A 26532-nucleotide genomic window follows, 5' to 3' on the forward strand; every position below is an offset into this window, starting at 1 on the left:
TCCAAATAAAGACAACAGTAAGGTCATAATTCCACCTAATGTGATGCAACTCTCCTGAGTACAACCAAAAACACACACACACTTTCCCCTGAAGAGGAGTTAAAGTCCTTGAGTGAATTTTATTCTTTTGCTTATACCCTGTAACTTAAATACTATGATGTAAAGTTAACAATATTTGTGCTATAGAGGAGATACATGTTATGTTACACAATAAGGGAATAAGAGAAGACAGAAAACAAAATTGTTGGCTATACACACACACAGATATATTCATTAAAAAAATAAGGAGGATTGATTACATTCAGAATGTCTGAATGGAGAAATACAGTAAAATATAAGGAGGACATACCATAACCATGACAGTCCTTGTTGCTGTCATTGGTCACGTGGTTGTAGCTGGTATTCATCACCACCTTCTTCCACTCCCCATTCTGTATTCCCTTTGTCTTCAGCAGGCCCCTCATCTGGTCCTGGCTCTTTACCTGCTGGGGTGATCTAAACCTTCCCTCCTGAAGGGTCTGGGCTATAGTATTTCTACCTGGGTGGGGTTGTTGAATATTCCATTCACCTTACTCACAGGACATGTAATACTATGGGACACCCTGTGGGATCTCCTATATTCCAGACATCCTCTTCCTTACTTCCATTGTGGAGTAGCAGTCCAATTTCCCCTTGGCAGTCAGGATCAGTCACCCACACAAGCATAGGAACTCTCTATTTTGCTTGTTGATTCAGAGGCATAAGGAGCTCAAAGTGGCCAGGTGGCAGTCTTAACTTCCTGTTCAATGGAATCACAGTTGTGTCTCCTGGTAGCAGCATTCCTCCCTTTGGAACTAGACCTCTATCCCAGCAGAACATAAGGTCATAGGAACAGGAAGTAAAAATTTTCTAGTGGGTCACCAGTATAAGAATAAAAGTGCCACTGCCATTACCTCCCCTTCATTTCTGGACCTGTGAGTCTGACTTTGGGAGAAACACCACTATGTATTGAATGCTGATTCAGAGCATATACAGCCTCCTGGAGAACCACTCCTAAGCCCCGCAAGGTACTGCCACCTAGCTGGTGCTGTAACTGAGTCTTCAAAAGGCCATTCCACTGTTTTATCAAGCCAGCTGCCTCAGGATGATGGGAACATGGTAAGACCAGTGAATTCCATGCCACATTGCCCTACTTCGTCTGCTGTGAAGTGAGTTCCTCAGTCAGGAGCAATGCTGTGTGAATAGCATGACTGTGGATAAGGCATTCTGTGAGTCTACGGAGGGTAGTTTTGAAAGAAGCATTGTGTACAGGGAAGGCAAATCTATATCCAGGGCAAGCGTCTATTCTGGTAAAAATATTGCCCTTTCCATGATGGAAATGATCCAGTGTAATCAACCTGCCACCAGGTAGCTGGCAGATTACCCTGGGGGATGGTGCCATGTCAGAGACTCAGTGTTGGTTTCTGCCACAGCAGATTGGGCATTAGCAGTGGCTATAGCTGGGTCAGCCTTGGTGAATGGGAAGTCCATGTTGTTAAGCCCATGGGTAACCTCCATACCTGCCACCATGCACTCTTTGTTCATGAGCCCATTGGGCAATGACAGTGGTGGCTGGAGAAAGAGGCTGACTAGTATCTACAGAACAGGTCATGCTATCCACCTGATTATTAAATCCTCCCCTGCTGGGGTCACCCTTTGGTGAGGATTCACATAGGATGCAAATATCTTCAGTATTTTTGCCTATTTGGAGAGGCCCGTCCACAGACCTCTTCCCTAAATTTTATTGCCACCAGTTTTTCAGTCATGTTCCTTCCACATCCCTGACCATCCAGCCAAACAATTGGCCACAGCCCATGGATCAGTACATAGTCACACATCTGACCATTTCTCCTTCCAAGCAAAATGAACGATCAGGTGCACAGCCCAAAGATCTACCCACTGGGAGCCTTTATCTTTCCCACTGTCCTTCAGGGACGTCTCAGGAAGGGGCTGCAGGACTGCAGTTGCCCACTTTCAGGTGGTACCTACATGTCCTGCAGAACCATCTGTAAACCAGGACTGAATCTTCTCTTCCTCCATCAACTGATCATTTAGAACTCCCCATGAGGCCACAGGTGCAGGCTGGGAGAGAGAAGATAGGGTAGCAGGAGCGGGACCCCTGGGCATCTGGGCCACTTCTTTATGTAACTTATGTGTGCCTTCAGCGCCTGCTCAGGCCAGATCACATGTACACCACTTCCATCTGATGATGGAGTATTGCTCTGCACACGCAACTTTATGGATTAGTGGATCAGCTACCACCCAGTTCATGATTGGTGGCTCAGAACACTGGTCACTTGGTTGCCCATGGTTAAGTGTTTAGTCTCCACCAAGGCCCAGTAGAAGGTCAAAAGCTGTTTCCCAAAAGGAGAGTGGTTATCTATGGAGAATGGGAGGGCTGCTTCAAAATCCTAAGGGATTGTACTGATTCACCTACAGGGGCCTGCCAAGGGCTCCACACAACATCCCTACCCGCCACTGACACCTCAAGCACCACTGGATCTGCTGGGTCCTATGGCCCAGGCAGCAAAGCAGCTTGCATGGCAGCCTGGACCTGTGGCAGAGCCTTCCCCTGTTCTGGGCCCCACTCAAACAAGAAGCTTTTCAGGTCACTTGGCAAATGACTAGAAATACGCACTCTAATGATGAATATGTTACCTCCAAAGTCCAAATCAGCCCACAAGGCATTGTGCCTTCTTTTGGGTTTTAGGAGGGGCCTGATGAAACAACTAATCCTTCACCTTAGAAGGGATATCTGTCTCCACATAACCATTCCACTTGACCTCTGGAAATTTCACTGAGGTGGAAGGCTCTCGAATTTTCATCGAATTTATTTCCTGTCCCCTGACATGGTAACGGAAATCTTCCCACAGTATTTCACCTAAAATACGTATGTGCACGACCTCTAGGGCACAATGTTCCAGGGAAGGGCATTAGTAAATAGTTCTTATGGTTCAGCCCCTGGCAAGTGTGTGGTTTCATTGAGTTCAAGCTAAGAACAAAGGCAATTTAAAGCTTTCCTGATTACAATGCCCATTTACACATTTTGTTTTATTTCAGCCTCACGACAACCCTTGCATGGTAAACAAGGCAGATGTTGGTGACTCTATTTATAGAAAAGTAATCTGAGGATGGGGGAGGGAGTTTAAAGGAATAAGCACAGGGTCACTCTGATTTAAAATCCTGACCCCTCTCCAATGCTCTGAAATGCACACAATTCAGTGCCCACCCAGGAAAGGAGATGCCCAGAGAATGAGTTTGTAGATGCCAACAAGACATTTCTGCTCAGGTCCTGCTAAGCTATAGGGTGTGGGGCAGGGAGTGGGGAAGAGGGAGATGGCGCCAAAAGTGTTGACAGGGGAACCGTTCTAATATAACCAATAGTACTCTTGAAATTTACACTTGCTGCTGTCCTAGTCATGCGTGGAGTTTTCATGTGTGGAGTTCCATGACTAGGAGTCCTAGTCATGCGTGGAGTTTTCATGTGTGGAGTTCCATGACTAGGAGTCCTAGTCATGCGTGGAGAGCAAAACGGGGCATCTGTTTGAGCTACACCTGAGTCTTGGTTCAACGTCTGCACATTTGTTTAAATTGTGTCTACTGGCCAGCCTCTCTCCTGGTTGTTAAAGTCACCACATGTAAAATCTCTCACAATTGAAAGCAAATTTCAGGGACACAGTGCACATCCCTTTCTCTGGGGACCTGGTCACTCATTCATTCATCCAGAGACAGGCACAGACAGGCTGTGACACAGGAGCTGGCAATGCGGTCTCCACGTGGCCGGAACTGAGCGGCTATCTGGAATAAAGGGAGGGATTGCAGCGGCTGGAGCCATGTGGAAGGTGCCAAGTCCTGATGGAAGGGTTGGAACTGAGACTGCACAGGCAAGAAGCCTGGCTTCTGATGTGCTCTGGATCTTTAGGCAGAATCACTTCATCCCTCCAGGGCTCTGCTTCATTCAGCTGTAAATGAAGTGGTAAGACCAGCTGATCTCTGAGAACTATTCCAGCTCTAATTAATTCTAAGCCCCCATTTACTCAACAGAAAGACTGTGGTACTTTCATAGTGTTTGTGTCTCTCATAAAATATTTATCTCTTCCTACTCTGCAGGGTAATTTCAGTGTCTGTGCTAGACTGTGTCTGTGCTAGACTGTGTCCATGCTAGGACTATCATTTGGGAATTGTAGACTAAAACCATCATAACGTATTAGCTAAATGACCTGGGGCGGGGCTTTTGGCTACTTTCTTTCTTTCTTTTTTGTAGAGACAGGGTCTCACTTTGTTGCCCAGACTGGTCTCAAACTCGGGCTCAAGCAATCCACCCACCTTCGGCCTCCCAAAGTGCTGGGATTACAGGCAAGAGCCATCACACCCAGCCAAGCTTTGAACTCAGTTTCTTCATCTGCGAATAGAAATATTAATGCCTTTCCTGCCTGTATCCCATAGGGTAATTGTGAGGATCAGTGTTCACAATGGGTGTGAACAAGTTCTTGTAAAATATGAAAGGGTGCTCTGCATAAGGGATTATTATTATGCTAAATTGCTTGGAGACCTAGGCTCCTTGTGTTACTCATCGAGGACCCGGCAGAGTGCTTGGCTCTTGGAAAGTACAAGAAATGTTTGCTCGGTGAATAAATAAATGAAAGTGTGAACAAAAGGTAGAAGCCCAAGATGGGCAAGATACAAAGGGATTCAATCTGCAAATGTGTTGTTCTATAAGCACCACCCTCCATCCTACTTCCACACTGAAGTGTTCAGGAGTTTACCTGTGAAGGACGAAAAAGCAGAGACTGTCATGTCATTCTGCTGTTCAGGCCCAACGAGTTACCTGCGGAGGTGGCAGTGAAGAGGGTTTGGTGGCCCTGACCCAGTTTTTGTTCTCTCAGCCCTGTGATGCTGCTGAAAACTCCACTCAGCTTCTCAGCCTAATAGCTGCAGCCCTTTGTTGGTTTCTAAGCCTCTTTGCACAAACCAATAACAAATCCACAAATGCCTGGAGGGGAAAAGATGTCAGGCTGACTTCAATGAGTCTTCTCTTCTCTGGGATCTTGGCCCTTGGTATCCCTCCAAAGCCTCCAGAAAGATGTTTTGGTCTTTCTCTAACAGCTCTGTTTGTTCTCCGTGGGAGGTTGAATCTGTCATAAACTAGTCCATCGTAAGCAGAAGTCGAAGCCCATGGGCATGTTTTTAACAGCCCTCAGTTGGCAACAAGCAAGTTTGAGAGTCCCTGAGCCAGGCCAATATTCTCATGGAGCAGAGGGGAGCCTGAGCCCCAGCCACGCGCTTTGCTAATATGACAGCTGGGTCTCAAACACTGGGTGCCTGATGTCCACGCCAATGTGCCTCCCACGGCACCAGGCCAGTCCCTCCAGAGGCACCCCTTTGTTTTATTTTCTTCTGTCCTTGTAAGCTGGCCAGTTGCCTTTGACCATAAGATGTACCATGGGCTCCTCCTGGGCCATGCACTGCCCCTCCCATGGGTGGGCAGTGCTGATGCCCGAGACACTGGGCACTCTGCTCACCCCACCCCCTCCTCCCTATCCAAGCTCAGACCACAGAGCCAGCCACTCCATGGTCCCAGACGTGAGGTCAGCTGTGGCTGGACCCTAATGAGCCTGGAAAGCCTGATTACAGCCTGTGGCTTCCTGAGTAATCATGGCCGCCCCCCTCCACCGGACTCCAGGGTGTGCCGGTCCCTCTCCTTCCCACGCACCTCGGCCACTGTTGCCCATCTTCCTTGGTGGCCTGAAGTGCCTTCCCTCAGCTCAGAGCAGCCACTAGCCCTTCTCTAGCCCTTCTCTCCTCTGCCCCTCACCCCTGCCTTGTTATTGGCAGGGTCAGTGGCACCCCGGCCTGGAGGGGCCTTGGTCAGCCTTTGTCCACATTCCTTGCCCCCACACTAACTACTAAACTACAGTTGTTGACTTCCTCCCTAGCCAGACCAGGTCACGCCTGCTGTCAGTCCTCTGCCCGCATGACTCATGCCTGGCCTGGAGGGCAGGTGGTGCCCTGCTCACCTAAGGAAGGCAGCCTTCTGAGTCCCCTTCTCACTCAGTGGGGACCCCAAAGCACTCTTTAGAAAAAGGCTCTGGGGTCTTCCTCCTCCAGGCAGCACCTAGGATTGCAGCCTCTCCTTCCTCCAGGCAGTGCCTAGGATTGCAGCCTCTCCCTCCTCCAGGCAGTGCTGGGAGTGGCACAGGAGCCAAGGTAGCGGCATGGGGGAAGGAGATTGGGTCTTAGAGCCTCTCGGGTCTGGATTGGAATCCTGACGCCAGCACTGTTATCTTGAGCACGTGGCCACCCGCTGCACCTGCATTGTCATCTGTAAAATGGAGCAACAGCCTCCTGCCTGGGACATAGCAGACACTCGACGAAGTTGGCAAATGTCACTGCTCTCATGTCCCTCCCTTCTCCACCCTGTGGGAGATTCAAGAAGGCATGGAGCAGGCAGAGAGTGAGCAGGGCTGACTATGGCACGCCAGCACCGAGCAGCTCCATCCGCCAGCCGTGACACGGGCAGCGAGGGAGGCTTCTGTCGGCACCACAGGCACCTGTCAGTAGCCCACGCGGAGACCCACAAGATGTAGACAGGCCCCCGATAACATCGTCCACTCTATCTTCTCCCGGCCGCTGCCTGGGACACCTCCCACTCCCATCTGGGTTCTCAGAGATGGGGTGAGAAGCGGCAGCTGTGGCTTAGGGGTGGATATAGAGAGGGAGGGAACCCTTCTCCCTGCATCCTCCCTCCACTCACGCTAGGCTGCAGCTCCTGGGCAATGAAGGGAATGATATGACTGAGGCTTCTGCATAAACATCCACCAGGAGCATGTGGGCGCTTGGGCCTCCACACCTAGGGAAAGACTCCCCAGAGCTTTCCGGGAAAGAGGAGCTGGAAGGGGCTGGTCGGGAGGAGGGAGAGTTTTTTCTCCTTTGCTGCTGGCACAGAATCCCTTAGAAATCACAGATAGCCGGGCGCGGTGGCTCACGCCTGTAATCCCAGCACTTTGGGAGGCCGAGGCGGGTGGATCATGAGGTCAGGAGATCGAGACCATCCTGGCTAACAAGGTGAAACCCCGTCTCTACTAAAAATACAAAAAATTAGCCGGGCGCGGTGGCGGGCGCCTGTAGTCCCAGCTACTCGGGAGGCTGAGGCAGGAGAATGGCGTGAACCCGGGAAGCGGAGCTTGCAGTGAGCCGAGATTGCGCCACTGCAGTCCGCAGTCCGGCCTGGGCGACAGAGCGAGACTCCGTCTCAAAAAAAAAAAAAAAAGAAATCACAGATATAGGCCAGGTGGGATGGCTCATGCCTGCAATCCCAAAACTTTGGGAGGCCAAGGCAGAAGAATCACTTGAGCCCAGGAGTTTGAGACCAGCCTGGGCAACATAGTGAAACCCCATCTCTGCCAAAAAATAAAAATAAAAAAATCAGCTGGCATGGTGGCATGCGCCTGTTGGAGGATCATTTGGGCCCAGGAGTTCAAGGCTGCAGTGAGCTATGATTGTGCCACTGCATTCCAGCCACAACAGAGGAAGACCCTGTCTCGGAAAAAGAAAGAAATCCTCACAGCTGGCTGCTGTGTTCTTAGAGACCAGGGAGGAGAGGTTGTCCACCAAAGATGGTGGCATAGAAAGGAATGGAGTTCCAGAAGAAGGTGAGAGGGCCCCAGCTGTGTGTAGGAGCAGGGCAGGGCATCCTTGTCCCAGCGAGTCTTCTCAGGCTTTTCCTGAGTCAAGGCTGGAGATGGGGATTGTGAACTTGTCCACCCAGAAGGCGAGAGTGGAGAGAGTGGAGTACCAGGGAGCTGGGGACAAGCCCTGGGGGAGAAGTGAGCCCAGGAGGAGTCGGGACAGAAGGAGGAGGCGAATGCCCACCCAGACAGGGAGGAGGGAGTGGCAGGAGAAGGGGTCATGGAGCTGCAGGGCCCTTGGAAGCTGAGTGAGCACGCAATTTTGTGGATGAAATATGAGTTTTGGAACAGGGTTGCCAGCATTGCCGCACCGCCAACAGCTTCGTGGGGCGTCTCCGCCTCTGTATGGCTCTCTGCTTTTCCAAACCGCAGCTGGCCCAGGCGCCAGGAGCAGAGGTAGGGTGAAGACAGACGCTATGGCTGTGCTGGTTCCCTGCAGGTCCTGCCAGGGTGGGGAGGTGGCTCCTGCACAGGCATCAGCCTGGGCCCCTGGCACTCTGGCTGCTGAGCTGCCAGGGGCTCCTGCAGGCCAAGGGCATCTCCTGCCTCCCGGCTTCTCTGAGGCCAGGCTGCTGCCACTGCTGCTGGCCACCTTTCATCCCTGGCTAACTCAACAATGGAATCTCAGCCTTGCTGCTGGCAGGCCACGTGAGCCATGCAGGGCCACATCCCCGTGGCGGGAGGTGGGCAAGGGCAGGTGGTGGCAGGGAACCGACTGGAAGGTTTTTATTGGCTCTGGTGGGGCTGGCTCTGTCTGGGCTCTGGTTTCCAGTTTAGGTCATAATAAAGGATGTATTCACTGACTCTGCTCCACTTAGAAACACTCTGGGAAGAAAACAAAGAGGGGCACAGCAGAGGGCTCAGATAGCATCAGCCAGGATGAAGGGGCCTGTGCCGCAGAACTGGGTACGGCAGTGGAGGGCTCCCAGCTCCCAGCATGCAGAATCCCTTCCCCCGAGAGGCCCACTTTCTGCCTTGTGTCCTCAGGGTTGGCACAGCTATGAGGGGTGGAGACTCTCAGACCCACATAGCCAGAAGGACATGAGGTCATCAGTCCCCTGTCCTCGGCACTAGACAGGGCTCCTTAAGGAAGGGCCGTATCTTCATCTTGGCAACTCCCGCAGGCCCTCATGCAGAGCCAGACTCACAGGAGGGTCCATGGCTGCTTGGTGAATCACCCCCTTCAAGCACATACTGAGTTTTCCTAACTGCATTCCAGGCTCTGTGTCCAGGGCTGGGATGTGAGCCGTGGCTCCTGCCATCTTCCTAGGGCTGCACAGTCTAGCAGGGCCCACCAGAGAGTACCCAGTGTTTGCTTTCACTGTGAGGTGACTTCTCTTTGTATGTGTCAATGAAAAGACTCACAACGTAGTAGCCTTAAGAGCTCAGTGAAGAGGCTGGGTGATCAGGGTGGGCTTCCTGGAGGTACTGACCTTTCTCTGGGCTGTCACTGTGCCCACTTACTCATACTGGGACACACCTATTTCTCATGCCCCACTTTCTTAGTTTTCTCCTCCATGTCACCTGACTTGAACCCTGTTCCCAAATGACTGAGAAGTCATGGGGGTGGGGTGGGGGTGAATACAGTGGTCAAAGACCATGCATGAGAAGGTACAGGAGGTCAGACTGGCCTCAGAGCAGGACAGGCAATCCTGGACAACCTTGGCCCCTTCTCGAAGCTGGCCAGCCCCTTGTTCCCTAATCTCAGTGTGTGTGCGGAGCTTCTCGAAGCTGGCCAGCCCCTTGTTCCCTAACCTCAGTGTGTGTGTGGAGCTATCGGCAAGCCTTGCAGTGAGAAATGAGTGTCCGCTGGACTTGTTCAACCCTCGGGCTGTCGCCGTGCCCGCTCTGCTCATGGGCGAGCCTCGGGTGGGGAGCCCCTGACAGACTGACCTCTCCCATCTTCTCTCCAACCTCAGGTGCCCCCGGCCCTCCAGGACCAAGAGGATTCAAAGGAGATATGGGCGTGAAAGGGCCTGTTGGCGGCAGAGGCCCGAAAGGAGACCCCGGCAGCTTGGGCCCCCTGGGACCCCAGGGTCCTCAGGGGCAACCTGGAGAGGCCGGGCCTGTGGGAGAAAGGGGCCCTGTTGGCCCTCGAGGGTTCCCAGGCCTCAAAGGCTCAAAGGGCAGCTTTGGAACTGGAGGGCCGAGAGGACAGCCAGGCCCAAAAGGGGACATAGGGCCCCCAGGGCCAGAAGGGCCCCCGGGGTCTCCAGGGCCCTCAGGGCCTCAGGGAAAACCGGGAATTGCAGGGAAGACAGGGTCACCAGGCCAGCGGGGGGCCATGGGGCCTAAGGGTGAACCAGGGATCCAGGGTCCCCCTGGTCTCCCGGGGCCTCCAGGTCCACCAGGAAGCCAGAGCTTCTACTGAGGAGGGCTGTGGCAGAGCCACTGTCACACAGAATGCCGGAGGGGCGCAGAGCAGATCCAGGCCCCAGAAAGCCTCACCTACAGACAGCTGTGGTCCTCTGATTCCAATGAGGGGGCTCCCCAGGGCTGACCCTGCAGCTTTGGGCTCCCCCATAGTGACTGTGCCATAGGAAAGCAGCCCCTCCTCACACATACATGTGCACATGCACACACATGCATGCACACACATGCACACATACACGCACATGCACACATACACATGCATGCACACATACACAGGCATACATGCATGCACACACACATGCACGCACACACACATGCACACATACACGTGCACACATACACAGGCACACATGCATGCACACATACACATGCACACACACATGCACACATATATGCACAGGCACACACATGTACGCACACACACATGCACTGCACACATATCCATGCACACAAACACATATATACACATGCACATACACAGATTTTTCTGCTGGCCAGGTGGGCCAACTGGGTTTCCCTGGCTGGGCAGGAGGAGAGGGCAGAGGAAGACCCCCTCTCCTGTGACTGAGCCTGCCAGGGAGGCAGCTACCTCGGGAGGAAGGTCTCACATCTGTCTCTGGGCACCCATGCTGGCCAGCAGTTTCCCAGGGCTCCCTGGGGTTGAAAAGCCCCAAGGAAACCTTTGCGGGTGGGGCGTTACTGCCAAAACTCCAGAGGCAAAGTGGACCTGGCAACCACAAGACCCTCCCCATAAGCAGGGGACCAGCATACCCGGGAGCTGTCCCTGTCTGTCACAGCACAGTGGGGCCACGAGGCTGACATTCTCTGGCCTTGCACACAGTGCCCCCTGAGAAGTTCAACATTTATTTCTTCACGTGTCCAGAAAATTCCTCAATTCATCCTTGCCTCTGCCCTTCAGGAGCAGCCTGGAAGGAATCCAAGCAGGAGTTTCATCTGCATGGGGGCACTCTGCAGGCCCTGGAACATTGGGCCTGAGTGGAGATGGGAGACAGAGGCAGGCCAGAAGGTTCTCTCTGCACAGCTGCCTCCCTTGCTCTCCCTGAGGCTGGCCTGCCCCATTCCCCAAGGGGGCTCCTCTGGAGTGGTGGGGAGGATTAGGCTGCAGAAGGGCCAACCCCTTGCAACAGGGCAGCTCTCGCCTCCCGCACACGGCTCTCCTGATCACAGCTGCATGCCGACCTTGTCCCACCGGGACCCACAATGGCCCGAGCCCTCTTTGCATGGGCAGCCAGCTGGACTAGGAGTGGGAAGGGCCTGGACACTCACAGAGGCCCCCTCTGTCATCACTCCTTGGCACCCACCAACTTCCTGCACACACTGGCAGAGAGGGGCGCTGGGAAATCACCCCACAGGGTGGAGGTCTCCTGTTGGCTACACTCTAAAGCTGCTTTGCCTTCATGTTCAAACAGATTCAGGCACCACCCCCTCCACCGCCCGCAAGGTTAGGGCATAGAGTTGTCTCCTTCCCAACACGGACCCAGAGAGCAGCCCTTCCCTGCTCAAAGCCTTTCCGCACCCTCCTGACTGTCCTGGATGTGCAACTGGTTTGCACTGCACACCCCACGGCCATGTAACTCTCCTGTCCACATATGATAATACCATTCTGCATAGTATTACTGACTCAGTAAAGAGCTATTTCCAGGAGTGAGGTGTCTTTGAGTCCTTTCTGCCTGACTTGGGGGCATGATGCCTTCAGGGCTGCACTCCAGGTGGGCCTCTGAAGGAGAACCAGTGACGAGGGTCCCCCAAAAATTCAATCTCACTGGAGTTGGGTCTAACCTCATTTTAGAAACACTGAGTTCGGCCAGGGACCAAGAGCGTCTGAGGGAATTACTCAGAGAGAGCAGGAACAGAGGGGGAAATGCTAAGCCCAATGCATCTTGCAGCCTGGCCCTGGAGCTCTTTGGCTAAAACAAGATTGGAAAACAGGGCAGGCCTGGACATGTGAGTGATACCTCCTGCTTCTGGCTTTTGTCTCCAAGACAAGGAGATAGAACAGGAAAGGAGGCAGAGACCAGGCCAGACCTGCCCCAAGGGGCCTGGCTTGGCAGGGTCTGCGGATTACGGAAGAGGACAGCCGGATCCTCTGTGAGTCGGCACAGCAGCCTCACTCACTGGCAAAATGTGACCTAGTGCAAGCCTGGAGCCCTGTTTTTTGGGTTTTTTTGGAGTTTTTTTGGTGGGTTGGTGCTTAGTTGAGGAAGTGAGCAAAAGGGCAGGGGGTGAGGATGGGGCCAAACATGGCTGCCTCACATGGACCTCACCGCTTCCTCTATAGTGAGTAGCATGAGGTCCCTCCTCCCCACTGACATCTGAGATGTCCACAGCACCTGACAATGTTCAACACACCATAAACATCAGCCATTGTCACGGTGGGACTTATTATATGGGTGAAGAGCCTCCTGGGCCACAGTGGGTGTGCTCTGTGCTCCTCTGCAGGTGAGTAGCCAGCACACCAGCCCCTGCATGTCTCATTTCACGCTCCCTGAACTGTGAGAGCTGGGAGGGACCTGGGGGAGTCTGAGGCTCAAGTCTCTTACTTCTCATGGGACAAACCAAGGACTGAGAGCAGTTGAGGGGTTTGCTGCACATCTGGGGCTGGAACTCCAGTCTGGTGTCTCTGGCTAGTGGTAGATCCAGTTCTCAGGCTACTTTCCTATTGGTGAGGGTCCTCAGGAAGCCTCCTACCACATATTTCTTGGGAAGTGTTCCCGCCCCAATCCTGTTCCCTGTCGTAAGTCATCAAACTGCTCTTAGTATTAATGTGGCCCTTTGGAGTATCTGGACAGCTCTAGGTACTACTGAAATCCAAACAGCGGAACCTGGGGTTTAAGGGGACAGACAGTTAGAACTGCAAAGCTTGAAGCAAATGCTGAGAATCCCTATATTCATAAATTTTGTGAATGGATGAAACCCACCTCAGAGTGGGTGATTGAGTGAGTTCCATGATGGAGGTGCCTCGGTGGCCATGGAAACGGGGCAGGTTGTGCTTCTGCCCTGCTGGCCCTTCATCACTGTGGGACCTTAGGCCTAGCACTGGCCCTCTCTGACCTTCAGTTTCGTCATCAGAAAACAGAGGGAGTGGACTGGTCTTGCCTCCATTGAGTCTGACATGCTGTGTTCCTCTGTCCTGCAATTCTAACCAAGTGCTCCTTCTCCTGCCCTGCTCGGTTATTTTCTGGAACTTTCCAGGGCCAAGGCGATGAAGTCTGAACCCACATTGAGTGGTAACAGCCATTGGAATTTCAGTCTCCAGATTAGAAGCCCAGCCTTCACCACTGGGGTGATTTTAATCCCCACCAGACTTGCAAAGCCCTGAAGTCACTCCTGGGCCTCTTTCTTTTCTCTCTCTTTTTTTTTTTTTTTTTTTTTTGAGATGGAGTCTTGCTCTGTCACCAGGCTGGAGTGCAGTGGCGTGATCTTGGCTCACTGCAACCTCCGCCTCCTGGGTTCAAGTGATTCTCCTGCCTCAGCCTCCCGAGTAGCTGGGACTACAGGCGTGCACCACCATGCCCAGCTAATTTTTGTATTTTTAGTAGAGATGGGGTTTCACCATGTTGGCCAGGATGGTCTCGATCTCTTGACCTCATGATCCATCCACCTCAGCCTTCCAAAGTGCTGGGATTACAGGCGTGAGCCACCGTGCCAGGCTGCCTGGGCCTCCTTCTAAGAAGAGCAGGGGCTTGCTGGAAGCCACAGACCTGGCTCATGTCCTCTGAGTGCCTCTAAAAACCCCAGGCCAGCCCACTCCTTTCACCCTGGCGACCTCACCACCTCTCCAACCCAGGCAGGACAGGGGGCTGGGCAAGCCTTCTGCCGTCCCTCCAACTCGTCTCTAGCCAGGGCTGAGCTGACAACTTCTGTTGCGCCAGCCCTGGATACACCTGTCAAAACAGAGCCGCGGGAGAGGAGAGCAGAGAGCTGAAAAACATGGTCTGACCACAGTGAACTTTCCAGTGGGGCTGGGCTAGGCTGGGCTGGCAAGCCTTGACCTGTGGGTGGTGTGCTGAGCAGCCTGGCTGGGGATTGTTTGACCTGCAGGAGCACAGGCCCTTTGTTTTGCTTGCCTTCTTCTGTCTTGCCCTTTTGTTTTCTTTTGAACACTTCCAAGTGCAAGACTCTGTGCTTGGTGTGGCAGGCGGTATACACAGGCTGGTGTAGTGCCAGGACTTTGGGAGGCCAAGGCAGGTGGATCACTTGAGGTCAGGAGTTCAAGACCAGCCTGGCCAATATGGTGAAACCCCGTCTCTACTGAAAATACAAAAATTAACTGGGCAGGGTGGTGTGCACCTGTAATCCCAGCTACTTGGGAAGCTGAGGCAGGAGTGTTGCTTGAACCTGGGAAGTGGAGGTTGCAGTGAGCTGAGATTGTACCACTGCACTCCTCCCTGGGTGACACAGTGAGACTCCATCTCTAAATAAATGAATAAATAAATAAATGCAGATTGTGGGCCTCCCCCCCAGAAACTCTGATTCAGAATCAGGGACGCGGTGGGATGGGAGGAATGGGGCGGGACGGGGTGTGGGGAGGTGGGGGAGGAACGTGTACTTCCCCCAGTTTCCCAGGGATTCTGACGCCCCAGATAAAACTTGAGAGCCACAGGTGTAGGAGATATAGAAAAATATTGTTTTTTGATTTATGTATATAATTTCAATTAATCTTCACAAGCAAAGTGTGTTTGCATTTTATAGATCAGAAAACAAGGCTCAGAAAAGCTAACTCGCTCAAGGCCACATAGATGTTAAGTGGTTTCAAACCCAGGATTTTTAGAAGCTGCTATACTGAGCTGCTTCTTACAGAAAGGTGGCATTGGAAATTAGATAAGACCTGTGTTTGCATCTGAGATTGCTGAGTTCCACAGAATCAACTTGCTCAAGTTCCCAGAGCCAGCTAGTGACAAAGCTGTGACAAGGCTTCACACTGAGGGCTGCTGGGTTTCCCGGTTCCAGCTGCCTCGTTACTAACACCACCAGTGAGAGCAGTGCAGGAGATGGCAGCAGGAGTGTGCTTCTGGCTGGGAGAGTTGGCAACTTCTCAAAGGAAGCCAGGTGCTGACCTCAGCCAGGCCCCCGACTTCCCTGAGGCCTTTTCCCTAAGCCCAAAGTCTCCAACATAGGTGTCCAACGAAATCCCCTGAAGTGAGGAACAAACTATTAAATATTAGAACATCTCAATGTGTTTCATCTATTCTAGGTCACACTTTGTTTTCACATAATCGGATATGATATGAAGCCAGCCATAAAGCCCAGGATGACCAAGAATATAATTTGAAAATGAATTTGTTTACTATCCTTAATGGTAAGCATCACCTTAAGCACATATTATGCCTTGAGACACTAGCCAATTGTGGTACATGAAAATAATTTATAAATAAATAAATTTACCTATATTAGGAAGATGATTTAAATGTTTATTTTACTAAGGGGGATGTGATTAAAATATTTGGACACCACTGCTCAAACCCAACTCTGTTGCGTCCAACACTCTGCCTTCTGATAAAACACAGCTCCCTATAGGGAAAGGGAGAAAGGGAATATCCACGTGATTTTACCCAGATTTGTAATATGATGGTTTCTTCTCCTTCTGAACTCCCAGACGAGGATGTTCCCCAAGTTTACAACTTGGGACTTGCTTGTTCCCCATCATCCAATATTGTCATCATTTCAGCTTCACAGGCTTCCCTTCTTCGAGATGTAGACACATTTAAAACCTTAATAGGCAGTTTGCGGATCCCACTGAATTCCTTCACTCATTCAACAAATAGTTCTTGAGTTGCAACTAGCTTCCCCATACTGCACTACCTACAGAAAAGGCAACTTCCAGATTCACCTTAGCTTCCTGTCCGGGGCCACTTTCCAAACTACCACACAGAGAAGTGGAGCCCAAACAGAGCCATAGTCTTATGGGAAGAAGAAACGGTGACTGGAGTTTGCGGCTGCCAAGGCAGCTGGAATTGGATGGGGTACTGAGCAGGAGGGAGCTGTGCACAGAAGGAGCTCAGATATCTGCACATACTTCCCCTTGAGTGACTGATCAGCTCGAATCTATGGGGAATCTGTGAGCTGACTAGAGATGCTGAAGGGTATACAGTGGTGGGGAATTTTGGAGGTCTGACCAGCCTTACTAAACAACACCATGCATTCAGTTGAGATACCAGAAAATCGATAGCTTAAAAGTAAAACCACTGTAGTTCTAGAGTAGCAGCTATTCTAGACTACAGTAACAAAGCTAAAAAAGCAGCATCTCTCTCTCAATAATTGATAGAATAAGTAAACAGAAAATCAGTAAGGATATAGAAGACTTGAACATTACTGTGGGCCAATTTGACCTAATAATATGAGAAAAACACTGCACCAGCTGTGGGTGAAGATCATTCTTTTCAAGGGCAGATAAAATATTTATCAAGGTAGAACATGATGTGAGCCATGAAACAAGCCTCAACAAATGTAAAAGAATTCAAATCACAGGAAATATGTTCTGTGACCCCATGGCATTTAATTAGAAATAAGCACAGAAAGATATCTACTGTCTTCAAATAACTGGAAATGAAATAACACACTTCTAGTTGCTCATGAGTCAAATAAAAAAATCACAAGTGAAATTAGAAAATATTTTGAACTTCATGAAAATGAAAACATAACATATGAAATTTGTGTGATACCGCTAAAGCAGTGTATGGAGGGAAAATTATAACATTAAACATTTGTATTAGAAAACAAGAAAGTTCTCAAATCAATGACCTAAACTTTAACCTTAAAGTTTAATACAAGAAGGGCAAATTAAACCCAAAATAAACAGAAGAAAAGATACAATAAAGATAAGAATTTAAAGAAAATGCAAATAGAAAAATATAGAGAAAAATTCATGAAATCAAATACTGATTCACTGGGATCAACAAATGAGTAAGTCTTTAGTCAGACTAATCAGAAATAAAAGAGGGAAGACAGAGATTACCAAGAGTGAGACCATCACCACAAATCCTACAGACATTAAAAGGATAGTAACAGAATATTATGAACAACTTTATGTCAATAAAGTTGACAACTTACATGAAAGTGGACAAAGTTCTTAAAGAATACAAACAACCACAGCTCACTCAAGAAGAAATAATGAGTATAGCTCCATTGCTATTAATATAACTATGAAAGCAATGAACTTTATAGTTAAAAGCCTTCCCACAAAACAACTCCACACCCAAATAGGCTCACTGATGAATTCTGCCAAACATTTAAGGAACAAATAATACAAATTCTACACAAAGTCTTCCAGAAAATAGAAGAGGAGGAAACACTTCCAAACTTCTTCTGAGTCTAGCATTGCCCTAATAGCAAAACCTGATACAAACTGCAAGAAAATAAAGCCATTACAAGAAAAGGAAATTATAAACTGGTATCCTTCATAAATATAGAAGTAAAAGCTTTAAACAAAATTTTAGCCAATCAAATGCAGCAATATTTAAGATGGATAATATAAGTGGGGTTTATCTCAGTATAAACCTTGTAGTTGTTTTAATACTCAAAAATCAATGTAGGCCAGGTGTGGTGGCTCACGCCTGTAATCCCAGCACTTTGGGAGGCTGAGGCGGGCAGATCACCTGAGCTCAGGAGTTCGAGACCACCTTGGGCAATATAAATGGAATCATACTGTATGATTCTCTTTGTGTCTAGCTTCTTTTCTTAATTACATTGTTTTTGAGTTTTCTTCATGTTGTTGCTTATATTTTATTGTCGTTCTCCTCCTTCCTGTTTTTCTTCTTCTTCCTCCTCTTCCTTGTTCTCCTCCTCCTCTTTCTTCATAGTGTCACATTTAATGAAAATACCACAATATACTTACTTACTTACTAAGTAAGTAAGTCTCTACTAAAATACAAAAAATTAGCCAGGCATGTAGTGGTGAGAATAAAGACACTTTTTTATTTCTTAATTTCTCTAAAACATGTTTTGTTAAAGGGGAAATCATCACTGTGGGGTTTACGACATACAAAAGTAAAATGAGCAGTAACAGTAGCACAATGGAAGGGAAGTGGATCAGTGGAATATTCTTGTATCATATTCACTTCTCATAAGTCAAAAATATTAATGCAAGGTAGGCTATGATAAATTAAGAATGTATATTATAGTTTTTAGAGCAACCTGTATCAACAACAGCAACAAAAAAATTTACTCTCTCAGGAAGTGATAGGTCAAGTAGGCTAAAAAAATCTATTAGATTTGAGAAGATATGAATTAGGTCAACTAACTTAACATTATTGGCATTTACAGAACACAATAACCAACAACTCCAGAACATACATTATTTTCAAGGGCACATCAGATATTAACCAAAATAGACCATGTGCTGAGCCATAAGGTAAGTCTCAATGCATTTGAAAAAGACTTAAATTACACAGACAGTACTCTCTCTACATGGAAGTAAATTAGAAATCAGTAAATGAGAGATACACGTCAAATCCACAAGTACCTGTTACAGCAGCACGTAGACTAATATTGGAACGATACAGAGATTAGCCTGACCCTTGTACAAGGTTGACATGCAAATTCAGGAAGTCTTCCTTTTTTTTAATCCACACATTCTTAGCAATTAAAGATAAAAACCTCTAAATAACCATAGATCAGAAAGAAAAAAAATCAGAGAAAATTAGAAAATATTTTGAACTGGATAGTATTGCAAACATAACATACCAAAATATGTTGGATGCAGATAAAGCAATGCTTAGGAAATTTAGAGCTTTAAATGAGTATATAAGAAAATAAAGATTTAAAACTTACTGATATATGTTTTCACTTTAATAAGATAGAAAAAGAAAAGAAATTTAAACCCAAAATAAATTGAAGGTAGAAAACAATATTAAAGCCAGAATCAATAAAATAGAAAAAAGAAAATAAAGGAAAACCAACATGACCAAAAGTTACTTCTTTGAAAAGATAAATAAAATAAGAAACCCCTAGATAAAGTGATCAAGACAAAAAGGGAAGAAACAACAATAGTAATGAAAAAGGGAACATCACTATAGAATCAACAGACAGTGAAGGGTAACAAAGAAACATTTTGAACAAGGTTATACCACCAAACTCAATAACCTAGATGAGATGGGCAAATTCTTTGAAAGATAAAAATCACAGAAACTAATACAAAAAGAAAATCTCCACTAATATTTTAAAAATTGAATTCATAGTTTAAAATTTTTTCCTAAAGAAAACTCCAAGTCCAGTTGGTTTTATTACTGATTTATTTCAAACATTTAAGAAATACATAATGCCAACATTAGACAAACTCTTTCAAAAGAGTAGGAAACCAGTAAGGTACAAGAAAATAAAATCGTAGACAAATAATCCTCAGGAATATAAATGCAAAAATTCTTAACAAATTGAATTAGCAGCCAGCAAATCAAATTTAGTCATCATAAAGAAGATAATGTACCATGGCTAAGTGGGGCTTACCACAAGAATGCTAGGCTAGTTTAATATTTTGAAAATCAATCAATATAGTTTGTCATATGTACAGAGTTAAGGAGAAAAATAATTTGATCATCTCAATAACTGCAGAAAAAATAATTGTTAAAATTTAACATTTTATAATTAAAATTCTCAGCAGACTAGGAATCAAAGGAAACTTTAAACTTAGACAAAACCCTTTTAAGAAAATCCTTTAACTAACATCACACTTAAAGGTGAAAGACCAAATGCTTTCTCTCCAAAATCAAGAACAAGGCAAGAGTATTGACTCTTACAACTTACAGCCAACATTGTACTGGAGGCCCTATCCTGTGAAATAAGACAAGTAAAGTAAAGATAACTTATAAAAAATGGAAAAGAAGAAGTAAAATAATCTCTACTTACAAATAAATAAATTCCTAAGGAAGTTACATAAAAACTCGCTTTTAATAAAATATAAACTTTGATCAAAGCCTACAAGGTCAATATACAAAAGTCAATTGTATCTCTATATACTAGCTACAAAAAAATTTAAAAAACGAAATTCAAGAACTATCACTTACATGATCAGCAAAGAACATAAAATACTTGGTAACAAATTTGACAAAATTTGTTTAATATCTCTACATATGGACTGGGTGCAGTGGCTTACTCGCATAATCCCAACATTTTGGAAAGCTGAGGCAGGAGGCTCACTTGAGGCCAAGAGTTTACAACCTGCCTGGGCAACAGAAGCGAGACTTCATCTCTTAAAAAAAAAATAATAGCCAGGTGTGGTGGCATGCACCTGTAGCCCCAGCTACTCTGGAGGCTGAGACAAGAGGATTGCTTGAGCCCAAAATGTCAAGGCTCCAGTAAGCCAAAATCATGCCACTTCACTCCAGCCTGGGCAACAGGCTGAGATTCTGTCTTAAAAAATAAAGTAAACAAATCTCTACATATAAAGTTAAAAAGCATTGCTGAAAGAAATTTTTAAAAGCCAGACTAAATGGCGATATATACCATGTTCATGGATGATATATCTCTGTACCCAAATTGATCTATAGTCAATGTAATCCCAAACAAAATTCCAGCATGTATTGTTTTGATTTTTGGTTTTTTGGTAGAAATTGAGAAGCTGACGATAAAATGTACATGAAAATGCAAAGGACATAAAATAGTAATGCAAAATAAAACAAGAATATCTTGAAAAAAAAAGAACCAATTTGGAGGACTTACATTGCTTGTTACTATAAAGATATTATAATCAAGACAGTGTGGTATTGATGTAAAGACAGGCAGATAGTCAAATGGAATAGAACAGAGTCAGAGATGAATTTAATAATAGTCAATTGCATTTTTACAAAGGCACCAGAAGAAATGAATGGGGAAGAAATTCTTAAAAAATGGTGCTGGAACAATTGGATATCCATATGGGAAAAAAATATATCTTGATGTTTACCTCATCATATACACAAAAATTAATTTGAGATGGATCAAGACCTAAATATAAAAGTAAAAATTACAGAGCCTCTAGATAAAGGAAAATACTATCATGAACTTGGAATGACAAAGTTTTCTTAGCTAAAACAAGAAAAACATTAACCATAAAAAATTGATAAGCTGGATTTTATCCAAATTAAAATCTGCTTATTAATAGGTCTATTTAAGTAAATGATAAGGTATGTTACACATTCGGAGAAAATATTTGACAAATAATTTATAAATAGAATATGTAAATATCTCTTGCATCTCAGTAATAAGAAGATAGTCCACAAAAAAAGGTGAAATGTTTAAACAGATACTTCACAGAAGAATATGTAACATGTGTAAAGATGGTCAGCATTTACAACTATCAGGTGACCAAGGAAATGCAAATTAAAACCACTACACTCATAATAGAATAGTTAAAATTAAGAAAACCATACCAAGTGTTGGCAAGGATGTAAAGCAACTGAAACTCTCATACATTGTTATAGGGAATGTAAAATTATGTAACCACTTTGTTTTTTTCTTTAGTTTTCCTGTTCCCTTCTTTTCACAGGTATTGATAGATAACTACTTTGAAAAACAGTTTGGTCATTTCTTAAAAAGTTAAACAAACACCTCTCAAATAGTCTAGCCATTCTACTCCTAGGAATTTACCCAAGAGAAATAAAAACATAGATCCAAAAAATTATTGTACAAGAATATTCATAGATTTGTTTATAATTAGCCAGAAACTAAAAAAACAAAAAACAAAAAAAACACACAAAAAACAAATGTCGATCATCAGGAGAATGGATAAACAAGTTGCGGCATACCCACAGTCAAAAGGAATAAGTAACATTAGACACAAAAATATGGATGAATCTCAAAAAACAAAATGTGCTGACTGAGAGAAGCCATACAAAAAAAGGGTACATCATGTGTAATTCCATTTATGTAAAATTCTAGAAGAGGCAAAACCAATATAGCGTGGTAGAAATGAGATTGTAACCTAGGGCAGAAGTGGTGTAATTGACTGTAAAGAAGCATAAGGAAATCTTCTGAGGTGAGAGAAATGTTCTATATCTTGATTAGGGGTGGTGGTTACACACACAGGTGTGTGCATTTGTCAAGACTTGCCAAATTATGCCCAATAATATGTGTGCCTTTTTTGTATATAAACTATACATTATAGAATCATAAAACTAATTTAAAAACAACTAGAATATAATATTTTACTCAGTAGAATAAACTTAAACAGACATAAAAAGTCAAATATTAGGATTTTCCTGGTAGGAGTATGAAATGGTAGAACCTCTTTGGAAAACTGTTTGGCTTCTTATGAAGGTAAACACCCATCTACCAGATGACTCAGCATTTCCACTCCTAGGTATTTGCCCAAGAGAAAGAAAAACATAGTCTACAAAAACACTTGTACAAAAACACTCATACCAACTTTACTCATATTTGCCCCAAACTGGAAACAGCCCATATATCCATCAACAGGAGAATGGGTAAGTAAATTGTGGTATTTTCATGAAATGTGACACTATGAAGAAAGAGGAGGAGGAGAACAGGGAAGAGAAGGAAGAAGAAGAAAAACAGGAAAGAGGAGAACGACAATAAAATATAAGGAATGACATGAAAAAAACTCAAAAACTATGTAATGAAGAAAAGAAGCTAGACACAAAGAGAATCGTATAGTATGATTCCATTTATGTTAAATTTTATAAAAGGCAAAGCTACTCTGTGATGCTAAAAATAAAAATAGTCCTTGCCTCACGTTGTGCAGGGAAGAGCAAGAGCTGATAGAAAAAAACATATGTTTTTGCTGTCATGAAAATGGTCTCTATGTTAACAGGTGGGTGATTTAGACAGGTATCTACATTTGGTAAAACATATCAAACAACACACATGATCTGTGCATTTCATTAAATATAAAGTAAAACTCAACTTTAAAAAAAGTCATAAAAATAGAAATTCACTTCCAAATGCTCATGAGCCAAAAAAGAAGCAATAAAAATTAGTTTAAATAAATATAGAAAACATTTTCAAACTATTTTATAATGAAAATAAGTAGAGGAATGTGGCTGAGGCAGCAACTGGAGAGAAAATTAATAGCCTTGAACATCCATATTAGAAACAGAAGTCTGGGTGCTGTGGCCCACGCCTGTAATCCCAGCACTCTGGAAGGCTAAGGCAGGAGGATCACTTGAGGCCAGAGTTCTAGACCAGCCTGGGTAACATAGGGAGATCCCATCTCTACAAAAAATAATAATAATTTGCTAGGCATTGTGGTACATACCTATAGTCCCAGCTACTTGGGAGGCTGAGGGAGGAGTTCAAGGTTACAGTGAGCTATGATTGTGCCACTGCCCTCCAGCCTGGGCAACAGAGCAAGGCTGTGTCAAAAAAAAAAAAAAGGAAAAGGAAAAGAAGAAAAGCTAAAATAAATGAATTAAATGAATTCAGTGTTCAACTTAAGAAGTTTGGCCGGATGCAATATCACTTATAGTCCCAGCTACTCAAGAGGCTGAAGCAGGAGGATCTGCTTAAGCTCAGGAATTTGAGGCTGCAGGGAGTTCTGATTGCATCTGTGAATAGTCACTACACTCCAGCCTGGGCAACATAGTGAGACACTTCTCTAAAAAAAATTTTAATTAATGTAAAAAAAAAGTTTAAAGAAGTGTACCAGAACACACACAAAGAAAGTAGAAAGGAAATAATAAAGGGTAGAAATCAGTGAAATGGAAAAAAGAAAGTTTAGAATGGAGAGGACCTGGAAAGCCAAAAGTTCCACACCCTCTTCTTCAGGTAACAACAACAAACCCTATGCAATATTGATCAAGAAAATGAAAAAAGTCATAAGTACAGAATATTAGCAATGGAAAAGGTGACATTAAAAGGAAATATTATGAAAATTTGACACCAATAATTTTGAAAACTTAGATGAAACAAACAAATTCATAGGAAAACATAACTCACCAAAACTGACTTAATAAGTAGAAAACCTGAATAGGTCTGAAACCATTCAAGAAATTGAATCAGTGGTTTAAATATTCCCACAAGGAAAGCAACAGGTCCACATAGAAAGACCTACAAGCAAATCCTACCAAAACACTCAAAGAAGTCAAAACTCCAATCCAACACAAACTCTTCCTGAGAACTGAAAAAATAGAACTCATCCTCTAACTTAATTTATAAGAACAGAAAATCCTGTTACCCAAAGCAGAAAAGAAAATACCTAAATAGATGCAGAAAGGGCATTTAGTAAATTGAGCATGCATTTACAGTTTTTGAAAAGTCTTATCAAACTAGGAATAAAAGGGAACTTTTAGATCTAATAAATAGTATGTACCCAAAATGCCCACATCTTTCAGAAAGCTGAAGCAGTGGAAGTATTCTATTTAAGAGAACCAGACATGACCTGCCCCCGTTATGATGCAGTGGAAAGTACACAACACCACCTATGAAGTTGATTTGTCAAAAAAAGAAAGAAAACAAAAGAAAATCACCCTACGTGTAATCAAGCCTCTAGACCTATCTTCAGTTTAGAGGCAAGAGCTCCAAAGAAAGAAACATGTTAAACAACACCATTTTTATGACTGGGGAGGTGCTGCCCAGTCAAACCCAGTAAAATCCAGTTTCTCCAACAAATAAACACATGAGGTGGGGGGGAAATGTGTACAGAGGATGTTAAAGATTAAAAGACACTTAAAGTTAATCCTCAAATAAAAGTTTGTTGAAAAAAGAGGACTGAAGAGATACATCAACCAAATGCAATGTGCGGACTGTGTTTGAATCTTAATTAAACAAAGCAAATTATAAATAAAAGCTTTTTTAAGAAAATCATAGAAATTTGAATGCAGGTTTTATTATTAGATTATGTTAAGAAATTATTGTTGCTGGGCGTGGTGGCTCATGCCTGTAACCCCAGTGCTTTGAGAGGCTGAGGTGGGAGGATTCCTTGACCCCAGGAGTTAGAGACTAGCCAGGGCAACATAGGGAGGCCCCTTCTCTACAAAAAAGGAAAAAATTAGCCAGGTGTGGTGGCGCACAGCTGTAGTTGTCCCAGCTACTTAGGAGGCTGAAGTGGGAGGACCGTTTGAGCCTGGGAGGTCGAGGCTGCAGTGAGCTATAATTGTGCCACTGCACTCCAGCCTCAGCAACAGAGTGAGACTCTGTCTCTTAAAAAAAAAAATACATACATACATATATATGTAAACTTTAAAGACAAAAAATAATAATACTACAAAGAAGTATTTTAGTAAGAAACAAGGAGGACACAAGGCTTCCCTGTTCACTATCATGGGGCCTCCTGGGGGGCCAGGCTGCTGGTTCAACCATCTACACCGCACCTCCCTGGCTTCTGCATGTACCATTTATTTCTCCCTTGTTCTTTATTGCTCTGGGCTTAAATCCTGTCCATCCTGCAAACCCAGCTCAGATGCTGCCTATAGCAGGTAGCTGTTGTGTTAGTTTACGAGTATCCACACCCTCTTCTTAGGTAACAACACCCCTATTTTCTGTTTATCTTCAACTTTTATTTTAAGTTCAGGGTACATGTGCAGGATGTGCAGGTTTGTTACGTAGGTAAACGTGTGCCATGGTGGTTTGCTGAACAGATCAACCCATCACTAAGTATTAAGCCCAGCGTTCATCAGCTGTTCTTCCTGAGGCTCTCCCGCTCCCCACCCACCCCTCGACAGGCCCCATTGTGAACAACAATCCTATTTTATTTTGGATAAACACCTTTAATAACTTCATATGGTTCAAATGGGGCTGATCTCAGCAACCACTTTCCCCCAGGGGTGGGCAGGTGACTCAGGTCTGTCCAATGATAATACCACCTTGATTGCAGGAACAGGCTTTTTACCCAGGTTGAACCAATTAGCCAAAGAGTGTCCACTCCCAGAATTTTGCTGGAAGTATTAGAAAAGAGGCACTTTCTCTTCTCTGGGTTGCTAATTTAGAAGACTGAAAGCCTGGAGTTGTTGTGGCCATTTGTCTGAATAGGAGAGAAGACCCTACCTCAGAAAGAAGCCACCATAAGAAAGTAGAGACACAGAGCCTGATGCCAATATTAGAGTTTCTGAATACAGCCACACTTCCCCTGCTCTAACCAGTCTCCTTCCTCAATCTTGCAGGATATTCATTAATAAAAGACCCTGGGTAGAGGGAATGATAAAAATAGAGAATAAGAAAGAGAGCTAGGAGAGAGACAGAGAGAATGAGAGTGAGAAAGACAGAGAAAGGCAGAGAGAAAAAGGGAGGACAGAAGGCAGGAAGAGAATGCATTGTCTTTAGAATCAAGAACAAGACAAAAGTCTGCCTGCATTTATCACTTATTCAACACTGAACTGGAGGTCTTATAAATTTCAATAAAGAAACCTAAATAGTAAAAGGTACAGAGGGACTAACTCTCTGGTGTCTGGCCCAAGAGGGGCAGAGGATGCTTAACTTAGAAAAAAAAAAAGCAGGCCAGGCACGGTGGCCAATGCCTGTAATCCCAGCACTTTGGGAGGCCAAGGCAGGTGGATCTCCTGAGGTC

The 26532-nt window shown here is 45.3% G+C and overlaps 1 protein-coding gene and 1 pseudogene across 7 annotated transcripts in view; both read left to right on the forward strand.

The window, feature by feature from the left end:
• The window catches only part of SCARA3 (scavenger receptor class A member 3), a 100679-nt gene that overhangs the window by 27812 nt on the left and 46335 nt on the right, over positions 1-26532 (forward strand). For 3 of the 7 annotated variants that reach the window (XM_047421850.1, XM_017013535.2, NM_016240.3), the window contains one exon: positions 9626-11744. The exons of 2 other annotated variants lie outside the window; for them this stretch is intronic. In XM_047421850.1, coding sequence (XP_047277806.1) covers positions 9626-10077 — 452 coding nt within the window. In that variant the 3' untranslated portion in view covers positions 10078-11744. Of the gene's footprint in view, positions 1-9625; positions 11745-15294; positions 15498-26532 lie in introns of those variants that run through there. 2 more of the 7 variants (XR_949419.3, NM_182826.2) reach the window with 2 other exon arrangements.
• On the forward strand, positions 18562-18661 carry RNU6-1086P (RNA, U6 small nuclear 1086, pseudogene; annotated as a pseudogene).

The sequence above is a fragment of the Homo sapiens genome, chromosome 8 (genome assembly GCF_000001405.40).
Source record: "Homo sapiens chromosome 8, GRCh38.p14 Primary Assembly".
In the NCBI taxonomy this organism is placed as follows: domain Eukaryota; kingdom Metazoa; phylum Chordata; class Mammalia; order Primates; family Hominidae; genus Homo; species Homo sapiens.